The sequence below is a fragment of the Homo sapiens genome, chromosome 11, assembly GCF_000001405.40.
Source record: "Homo sapiens chromosome 11, GRCh38.p14 Primary Assembly".
Taxonomy (NCBI): Eukaryota; Metazoa; Chordata; class Mammalia; order Primates; family Hominidae; genus Homo; species Homo sapiens.
The window spans coordinates 57,449,217-57,460,143 of NC_000011.10; the positions used below are offsets into that span (position 1 = coordinate 57,449,217).

The following is a 10,927-nucleotide window of genomic DNA, read 5'->3' on the forward strand; positions in this document are numbered from 1 at the left end:
GTTCTGTACATTATTTTATTAACTTGGTATCTCTGGTACTGCTCAATATAAGAACATATAGACCTGGCCAGGCACAGTGGCTCACATCTGTAATCCCAGCATTTTGGGAGGCTGAGATGGGTGGATCACTTGAGGTCAGGAGTTCGAAACCAGCCTGGCCATCATGGTGAAACCCCCATTTCTACTAAAAATACAAAAATTAGCCAGGTGTGGTGGCAGGCGCCTGTAATCCCAGCTACTTGGGAGGCTGAGGCAGGAGAATTGCTTGAACCTGGGAGGCAGATGTTGCAGTAAGCCGAGATCACGCCACTGCACTCCAGGGTAGGCAACAAAGCGAGACTCTGTCTCAATAAAAAAAAAAAAGGAATGTATAGACCTTCTTTATTCTTTTTGATGGCTGTAGGTGGATGTTCTAAAATTTGTGTAACCAATCTCCTATTGATAATATTTAAGTTATGTCTTCAGCATCATATGAAACTTACAAACAAGGTTGCATTGACTATCCATCTGTAAATGTCTTTTTGAACATTTCTAGAATAATTGCAGGATAAACTCCTAAAATGAGAATTTCTGGGTCAAAGAGGATATGCATTTTACATTTAATAGATATTTGTCAAATTGTCTTCCAAAGTGGTCGTACCAATTAACACCCCGACCTGTAATGAATGAGAGTGCCTTTTTTCCCCACACCCTGGAGAGATGAAAAATTTATGGGCCCACTTTGGAGTGCATGGTGGAGGAAGCTGTTGGCCGTTATATAACCCTCGTCATTAATAAGCCTGGGGGTGGGGGGGGAGAAAGAGAGGTTAGTTAGTGGGTGCAAACATACAATTAGATAGAAGTAATAAGTTCTAATGTTCGATAGCAGAGGAGGGTGACTATAGTTAACAACAATGTATTGTATATTTCAAAATAGCTAGAATGGAGGACTTAAAATATTCCAACACATAGAAATAATAAATGCTTGTCTGCGGCCATGCCACCCTGAATGTGCCAGATCTTGTTTGTTCTTGGAAGCTAAGCAGGGTTGAACCTGGTTAGTATTTGGATGGGAGAAATGATAAATGCTTGAGGTGATAGATATCCTAAATACCCTGTCGAACATTATACATTCTATATATGTAACAAAATATCACACGTATCCCATAAATATGTACAAATATAATGTATCAGTAAAGAGAGGGCTGGGCACGGTGGCTCACATCTGTAATCCCAGCAATTTGGCAGGCCAGGGTGGGAGGATAGCTTGAGGCCAGGAGTTCAAGATCAGCCTGGGCAACATAGCGAGACTCTGTCTCCACAAAAAATAAAAATAAAAACGAATTAGCCAGGCGTGGTGATGCATGCTTATAGTCCCAGCTACTTGGGAGGCTGATGCAGGAGGATTGCTTGAGCCCAGGAGTTTGAGGCTGCAGTGAGCCTACGACTGCACCACTGCACTCTCCAGCCTAGGCAACAGAGGAAGACCATGTTTCTAAAAGAAATAAATTAAATAAAATAAATAAAAATAAAAAGACTGAAAAGCAGAGTGGTAAGAGAAAGGACTTTGGGGCTCAACAGTACTAGCCTTGAACCCTGGCTGTTACTTACCCATCGTGTGATAAGCAAATGCCTTAACCCCTGTGTGCCTCACTTTCTTAACATATAAAATAGAAGTAAAAATCATACCCACTTCAAGGGTCATTATAAAAAGCCAATAGAGATAATGTATATAAAGCTTCTGGAATAATGCCTGGCACACAGTAGGAGTTTAATAACTGGAAATTCATTGTTGTAGTGGGCAGCCTTCTGAATCTGTGTCCTCTTTGTCCACTAATGGCTTTGATCTGGATTTGGCTCAGGCAAGACCTGGGGAAGGGCAGAGACTGAGGGCAACTGGAGGTATAGGGTGGTCTGAGCTTCCCCAGCAGAGTGAGGCTGGGAAAGGTCTGGGAGACAGACCAGGCAGGTGCTGATAAGACCGGAATGGGAGGCTGGAGCATAAGGCAGTTCAGTTTTTCCCAAAGGGGGGTGTACAAAACGATCTCGTATGACTCCTTTATACTGTTAATGTTTTCATTTTATCGCGCACTGAAAAACAAAACCAACATATTTAATGAATGATTCCAAGGGGATTCTTGCTTTTACAAAAAATGCTAAAGTAGGCATTCACATGTTTAAAAATTGAGTTGATTTAAATTTTAAAATTACTAAGTCATAGTACATAATGTGTGAGCCACAGCTATCCCCAAAATCATGATAGCGATACATTAATGACTGAAGTTCTTTAAACATCAACATACAATGCCAATTCCAGAATTCAGCTCAAATTCTGCAATTACACAGGCTGGGGTTGAAACCCAGCTTTTTTGCTAACTGTGTAAAATTAGGCAGGAGGGCTAACCTCGCTGAATCTCAGATGTCTAGTCTGTAAATTGAAGATAATGTTTGTTTTTATCTCACAGAGTTGTTGTGAAGATTCAATAAAATCACAACATGTGAGGATGATCTGGCTGTGACACCTGTCACCCCACTGATCTCCAGAGTTGATTCGGCTGATCAGGCTGGCTGGGCAGGTGTCCCCTTTCTCCCTCACCACTCCGCATGCATTCCTCCCGAAACTGCACACTTGGTCAAAGAGGAAGACCTTTCCTGATAGAGGAGGACCATTCTTCAGTCAAGGGTATATGAGCACCTGTTCTGTCCTGCCAGAATCTCCGAAGGAGCTCTCAGTAAAATCACAAGATTTTATTGTGCATGGTAGCATGAGCCTGTAATCCCAGCTACTCAGGAGGCCGAGCTAGGAGGACTGCTTGAGCCCAGGAGTTTGAGACCAGCCTGCGCAACATAGTGAGACCCTGTCTCAAAAAAAAGAAAGAAAGAAAGAAAAGAATAATAATAGTAATAAATCACCTGTGCAACGTGCTCACTTCTCTCTTTGGAATGTAGTAAGTGTACCTAATAAATGTGATCATTGTAATCATCACAGTGAGCACAGGCTAAAGCATCTTGACTTTATTCTATAAGCAATAAAAGAGGATTTGTTTTTACAGAACTCATTATGTTGTGAAAATAATTTTCCAACATTAACAAAGAACATTCTTCAAGTAAAAGGAAAACCACCCATCATTCTCCCAACCTTCAATAATTTTCAATTTTGCATATTCTCCAGACTTTGTCAACATGAATACTTACTTTACATGGTCGCAATCAGTGTTCATGCAAATTCTTTTATCCTGACTTTTATAAACAAATATGATGTTATAAACCGGTCTCCATGTTTCTGCATATTCTTTATAATTATCATTTTGTGGCTGCATAATATTGCATTGACTATGTTAACTGCAGTTTTCTTAACCATTTCACTGTCTGGGGAAATGGAGGATAATGCCAGGGTCATGCCTGGAGCTTTTTTTTGTCTATTGCATTATATTCTTAAGATCAAATCCCAGCAGTGAGATTAGTCAGTCAAAAAGTAATAATATTTTCAAGGCTCTTGTTATATTTTACTAGATTGTTTTCCAGAGTTTTGCACACTGCTCCCAGAGATGTAGGAACACAGACGTCATCCAACCTTGCCAGTGCTGGGTGATGGTGTTTATAAACTTCTGCTAATTTAATAAGTATGAAATGCTATCCTCACACGGCTTTCATTTCTATCTCTTTGATCATTAACAGGTTGAACTATTTTCCAAGTATTTGTTTACTCTCTGCATACCCTCTTGGGTGAAGTAGTCATCCACTTCCTTCACCTGTTTATCTGTTGAAGTCTTGAGGCTTGTTTTATAAATGTGAGCGAGCACTTCAGAGTCAATAGACATTAATTGCTTCCAGCCAGATTTGGCCACTGAGGCTCCTGAGCAGGGGAATGCATGATCAAAACTACACCCTGGACAGATTAAATTAATTGGAGAAAATGGGCTGAGAGGCAGAGATATGTGTCACTGGCCTACTGTGTTTGATCCTATAGTGGGGGCCTGAACTGGGGCAACGGCCTGAGTCCCCCACTACCAGTAGCAGGAGGCTCCATGTGTCCCCCATATTAGAGCTTGCGGCACTTCCATTTGCCCCACCTCCTACAATACCCCACATACATGTACTCACTCTCCCTTGCAAATCTAGTGGCTTCAACCCACAGAATTTAAGGGGAAAGGAATTGTTCTGTCCTGTTCACTTACTGCAGAAATGAGAAAAGCGTTGTTCACATGGGATCACCTAATGAAGGGATGCCATCCCCAACGGTGCCTATAAGGAAATGGGGGAGGGTTGGAGAGTTGTGCAAAATGCAACAGGGAATCATCAGAGTCTCTTGCCCCATGATAGAGGGTTCTCAAATTAAGAGAGTCTACAGCAACTAATCTCACGGCCACTCTAGGCAGGGCTTCCCAATGCTTCCCCAACCCCACCTCCATCCTAGACTTTACCCACTCTGCTGAACACAGATGTTACCCATAGCACCTTGCACCATGATTGTTTGATTAGCACCTCCCACAGTAGACTGTGTTTCTGATAGGTCAGCAACATTTGCTGAGCACCTACTCTGCAGGGCTGTGCCAGGTGCACAAAATAAACAAAGCCAAAGACAACATGGACCCTGAACTCAGCAAGTTCAGAGTCAAGTGGGATAGGGAGGCTCTCTTCACTGGAAGGTAACTCCAAGAAACAATGGGACTCAACTTTCTAACCAAGAGAACTCCAGGGAGCTAAAATTCTGACTTCTGGTTAAGACTGGTGTGGAGCTTCATTAAAGAAGAAAAGATTCACCCAGACTTGAGTTCATAGCCTGGCTTTGCAGCTTTTAAGTCATGTAACCTTTGATGAAGTTATGTGACCTCTCCACCCAGCTGCCCCTAACACTTGCAGGGGCAGGGCTGGAGTGCAAAGGGAGGCACTGGTACCACAGCCTGGGAGGCACCACCCCACTAGTGCAAGCCGGGCAACCTCTGCCCCCAAGGCATCCCTAGCCTCCCAACTGCAAGCATCAATCTTGCACTTGGAAAGGAACCTCACCTTTGAAATCTAGGTTCAAATTTAGAATGATCCAGCTCCTTGAAGTTCTATACAGAAATACAGCCAGCAGCCAGGCCCGGTGGCTCACGCCTGTAATCCCAGCACTTTGGGAGGCTGAGGTGGGTGGATCACTTGAGGACAGAAGTTCGAGACCAGCCTGACCAACATGGTGAAACCCCGTTTCTACTAAAAATACAAAATTAGCCAGGCATGGTGGTACACGCCTGTAATCCCAGCTACTTGGGAGGCTGAGGCAGGAGAATTGCTTGAACCCAGGAGGCAGAGGTTGAAGTGAGCCAAGATCGTGCCATTGCACTCCAGCCTGGGCAACAAGAGCGAAACTCCATCTCAAAAAAAAACAAAACACACGCAGCTTCCCTCCACTTCCCAACCACAGCTCCATCTCAGACAACAAGGGGCCTCATGTCCATGCACATGAATATCCAACCAACATGTCTAAGGCCCAACCACACCCTCTCCAAACATCTGCCCCTTGGCCACCCTTTGGCCATGGGTTCATGCACTGGCAGAAAGGTAGTTCAGAGAAGAAGCCCACAAAGGGCCGGGAAGTCCACTTGGGCTTTTTGAGATTCCAGGGTCCAGGATAACCTAAGTGTGGTCTAGAAGAGAGATGCAGCTTCTGGGAGGCACATTCCTTGGTCTTAGGGACTTCTTGCCCCCATGGAGGGAAACTGGCTAGATGAGGGCCAAAGCAGAGCCCTCTAAAGCACAGGGCTCAGGGAAGGACTCTTTTTGACCAGATCTAAGAGCAGCACTACCTCTCTGAGCCTGTTTCTCCATCTGTAAGAAGGGGACATTAATAGACTCTCCCCGCTAGAGTTACTCTACATCAGCCAGCACACGTAAGTTCATGACATGAAGCAAGGGCTTAATATATACCCGTTGTACTATAAATAATAGGCCAGGCCTGGTGGCTCACACTTGTAACCCCAGCACTTTGGGAGGCCGAGGAGGATGGATCACAAGGTCAGGAGTTTGAGATCAGCCTGGTGAAACCTCATCTCTACCAAAAATACAAAAATTGGCCGGGTGTGGTGGCGTGCACCTGTAGTCCCAGCTACTTGGGAGGCTGAGGCAGGAGAATTGCTTGAACCCGGGAGGCAGAGTTTGCAGTGAGCCAAGATCTCACCATTGCATTCCAGCCTGGGTGACAGAGCAAGACTGCATCTCAAAATAAATAAATACACACATACATACATACATACATACATACATACATACATACATACATACAATACATGGACAGGGACCCTAAAAATGAGACAGGGAAAGAGAAAAACATGTTCTGACAACCTTGCCCTTTATACTAATTTAGGTTTTCTTGCCTGTTTTAGAAAGGGCCTGGACAGGAGCCCTGTTCCCCTCAGGCCAGGCAGAACAAGGTGTGGAACTCACTGTGGAAGGGTTCTGGGTGACAAGTGCAGCCCCGTCCCTCCACCTCCCAGCACAGTAGGCAGCACGTGTCTCCATTGACTGGCTCAGGAGCAGGCCTGGTGACCAGTGGGAGAGCTGAGGAGCCCAGGGTGGGGTCTGAAGGAATCCCTAGAAAATCTGATTTTCCCCCAGGGCCCACATCACGTGCCCAGAGCTGGGAAAGTGGAGGCAGCATGGGATCTAGCTGAGAGGCTCCATTTTTGGTAGCTTCTAGTTTGGGAGTCACAGAGACACCTGGATGATACGAAGATGTAGCTTTGCAGGACTCTCTAGAACATGGAGTCCAAGATATTCCCTTCAATGATGGGACACTGAAGCCCACAGAGGAGAGGTCTGTCCCAGTTACTCAGCCATTCGGAGGCAGAGACCAGGCTAGAACTCAGGACTTTTAATTTGGACCAGGATTCCTTTTACCACAGTGGGCAGCCCTAGCAAGTGCCAGGTAGGGTGGAACTGTGAAGGTCATCCGAGGGGTAGTACACGTGGGTAGGAAGTCATATCTAAGAACTGACCCCCAGACCTGGCTCTGCCACTCACTCCTTATGAGACCACAGGTGCTGGGTGCAGTGGTTCACACCTGCAATCCCAGCACTTTGGGAGGCCAAGGCAGGCAGATTGCTTGATTCCAGGAGTTCGAGACCAGCCTGGGAAACATAGTGAGACCCCCACCTCTACCAAAATTAGCCAGGCGTGGTGGTGTCTGCCTGTAGTCCCAGCTACTTGGGAGGCTGAGGTGGGAGGACTGCTTGAGCCTGGGAGGCGGAGGTTGCGGTGAGCCAGGATCATGCCACTGCACACCAGCCTGGATGACAGAGTGAGACAGAATGACACACTGTCTCAAAATAAATAAATAAATGACAGCAGATCATCATTTTTCTTTCTGCCTCTAGACTGCAATGCCTATTTCTCCAGGTAGTCACTAGGATAAAAGTAAAAATAATATTATCAGCATTTACCAAATACAGGGTCAGCTACTCTGTTATGTTCTTTCATGCTTTGTTTCTTTTAAGCCTCAAACAACTCTATGAGCTGGGAACAAGTATCGTCCTTCTTCCTCCCATCTTATTTATTTATTTATCTATGTATTTATCTATCTATTCATTTATTTATTTATTTTGAGACAAGGTCCTTCTAAGTCACCAGGGATGGCCTCAAACTTGAGCTAGGAACTAGTGTCACCACCCCCCAATTTCTTTTATTGATTGATTGATTGATTGACTGACTGGTTAATTTTGAGGCAGGGGTCTCGCTAAGTCGACAGGGCTGGTCTTGAACTCCTAGTCTTAAGCAATCCGCCCGCCTCAGCCTCCCAAATTGCTGGGATTACCAACACGAGCCACCATGCCCAGCCCCTCCCATCTTCTGAATAGGAAAACTGGGGTTTGAAAAGGTAAGCGACTTGCCCAAGGTCCCCTCCCTAGCTAGAGAGCTTCAGAGCCAGGGCACAAACCCATCAAAGCCTGTGCTCTCGCCCATTGAGCCACCGGACCTCGTACACTAACCGCCAAGTGTTCTACACAGTGAAGGTGACAAAGAGGTGAAGGGAAGAGCCAGGGAGGTTCTGTGGACTCACTCGGTGGGTATGCCCAGAGGGAAGGGGGATCTTGGGTGGCACATTGAGAGTAGCTGCGCTGTTAGTAAGTGAGAACTCGGAAGTCCAGACTCATCCAGTCTGTGCCAATAAACCCCTCCTTCTACCTGGTCTCCTTTCCAAAGCCAGCTGTTCTCCAGACAATGGGGTGGGCGGGGGCGGGTGTCCTCCTCCTTCTCAGGGAAAATCCGACGCTGAGCCCATCTCCAGAGATCTTGGCTTCCCGTGGGGCTGCAGATCCACCTAGAGCCACCAGAGGGCGGGCCAGCACTGCGGCCAAGGCTTGAAGACCCAGCACACCAAAGCCCGGCCAAGCCTCCAGCCCAGTGTCCAAGAGTCCAGCCAGAGGCCGAGTCCTCGATCTCAAAATGTCTAACTGCAGAAGCCCAACTCATGTTCAGGCATGATGTGTCTGATTCTACTGGGACAATCATTGCCACCAAAGAATTACTGCCAAAATAGTAACGACATTAGCTACCTACCACCCCTCCACACACCAACACACCTCATTTTACCAAGCACTTTCTCATGCCTGGGGTGCCTGGAGACTTAATGCAGCCTCGCGATGACCGGGTAGCCTCACCGTACAGATGAGGAAACTGAGGCACAAGGAAGGGGAGTACATTGTCTAGGGTCACCTGGAGAACTCTGATCTCCAGACTCAAATTTCCAATTCGTCCCCCCTCCCCCCAACCCTAACCGGAGCTAGGTGGGGTGGGGACAGCAAATGTGGATGGGGGGAGGTAAGAGGGGTCAGAGTGCTCTACAGAGAAGACCAAATGCATTGTGGCACCTACTGTAAAATGAGACCAGCCAGCCACCCACCCACCAGCCAGCCACCTAAAAGTCTTCAGTGGGCACCTGCTGGAAACACGACAATGGATGACACGAGTTCCCTGCCCTCAAAAAGCTGGTAGTCTAGTTGGGGGTGGAGGGGGTGAGTCAGCAGATAATTATGGGAAACCGTGACACCTGTATAAGGGGCGGGGATGAGCAGAGGGGCTGCGACTGCCTGGAGCCAGGGATTCCCGGACGGGGCTTCCCTTTCCTCGCAGCTCGTCCCAGGAGGAGGAGCTCCCCCCCAGCTTCGGGGTTCCGCCTGCCTTGGGGGCCCGGGGTCCCCTCCCACCCCTCCCCGAAGAGCGCGGGCCCCGGGAACCGATGACAGCACACCTGAGTCAGCCCGCCGCCCACCCGCCCCTCAGCGTCTGTCTCCGCATCTTGTGATATTTCGCTCCCCGGGAGCCAGCCCCACTGCGCTCCGGAGGCAGCTCGGCAAACAAACCCAGCGACAGATTGTGCCGCGGCTCATTCCGGGGAAGGACGCCAAACCCCACCCTGCTACCCCCAACACTCCCTCCCCGCCGCCGCCTCCAGGCCCTCCCCCCAGGCGCAGGCCCTAGTCGGGGTGGGTCCTGGGGAAACGCAGGGTCCTGTCCTGCCTCCTGGAAATAGGGGGAGCCCTGGGTGAGGGAAGACGGGAGCCCCAGAGACTTTTCTTTCTGTTTCTACCTGATCCGAAAACGAGAGGGGCGGGAAAGGAAATTTAGGGGCACAGAGAGGAGCTGGGGGGCCGAGAAGGTCCGAAAATGGAACCAGCAGGGGGCACCCGAGAGCCGAGGTGCCCACGGGCCGGGAGCCTGGGAATGAAACTGGGGAAGAGGGGGAGAGAAAGGGAGGCAGAGACACCGAGACACACAGAGACGAGAGACAGAGACGCAGGGAGCCCCGCGGGGAGGAGGAGAGAGACGAAGACACAGAGAGACAGTGAGAAAGACAGAAGACCGGGCAGGGAAACAGACGAGTAGAGACAGAAAAGGTCCGAGAGAGAGTGAGGGAGGGAGGGAACAGAGAGACAGAGACCACGAAATATGAGTAAGAGTCGGGGGAGAAAACCAGAGAAATCGAATGAGAACGCGAGAAGAACGAGAGACCGTGGAGGGAGCAGAGAATGAATGGGAAGAATAAGACCAACATTTATCAAGAGCCGACTGTATGCCAGGCACTGCATTGGACCCTGGCACGGATAGGAAAGGAGGAGCCGCGGCGCGGGCAGCGGGGCGAGGGGCTTCTGTGCTCGCGGGAGCGGCAGCCCAGGGGGCTCAGCAGCCCCGGCACCGCCGCACCTGAGGCTCCAGCAGCCCCAACCCCGCCAGCGCTGCCTGGCCACCGTACCCGAAGCGGCTCCCCCGAGGGCCCCGAGCCTATCCTACGCCGGGGCGGCTCCGCGGACGCGCCGGGCCGAGTCAAGACCTGGGTCAACCGCCCTGCAGCCTTTGTAGGGAAGTGCCTAGGTGATGGGTCTGCTGATACCGCCTGTGACCAGGCCATGAAGGGCCAGAGGGGCTCCAGTGAGACCATAATCCGCCCCTCTTTAAAAGGGGGTAGAGGAAGTTCACGCGAAGCCAACAGTCTTCTCCCCAGCTTTGGGTCCTCTCCTGCACCCCCGCGGGAGATAAGGTCTCCCCTCCCGGACACATCATACATACACAAAAAAACGCACACACTCGCACGCGCGCCCATCTCGCACCCGCTTGTAAATGCACTAAGGGGCATACACACACCGGGCACATATTTCTTTCCACCCATCCCCAAGATCGCAAGCGCAAAACCTCGCACAGCCTCACGTTTCCCACCAGCTCAGACATGCACGCTGGCGGACTTTCAGCGGCTCACCCGTGTGCACACTCACGTGCCCCCCCCCCCGCTTCCCCAAGCCCGTACAAAGGGTAACGGGCAAGCATCCTGAGTCACACCTGCACAAGCATCCTTGCGCGCACGTGCACGCTCATATGCACTCGATCTTGCACGCACAAACTCTTGCATATACTATTCTTATAGTCGCACACTGGGCTTGAGGTCTGGGAGTGGAAGGAAAAGTGGAATCTTGGA

General features: G+C 49.2%; 2 pseudogenes, besides 1 other annotated feature; both read left to right on the forward strand.

Annotated features, from left to right (window-relative positions):
• On the forward strand, positions 967-1,083 carry RNA5SP341 (RNA, 5S ribosomal pseudogene 341; annotated as a pseudogene).
• Positions 2,474-2,806, forward strand: RN7SKP259 (RN7SK pseudogene 259; annotated as a pseudogene).
• Positions 10,160-10,219: a silencer, noted in NCBI's record as "silent region_3347". NCBI's record gives its function as "represses an Ori minimal core promoter by ATAC-STARR-seq in GM12878 lymphoblastoid cells {active_cell/tissue: GM12878}" and the evidence as "EXISTENCE:reporter gene assay evidence [ECO:0000049][PMID:35858748]".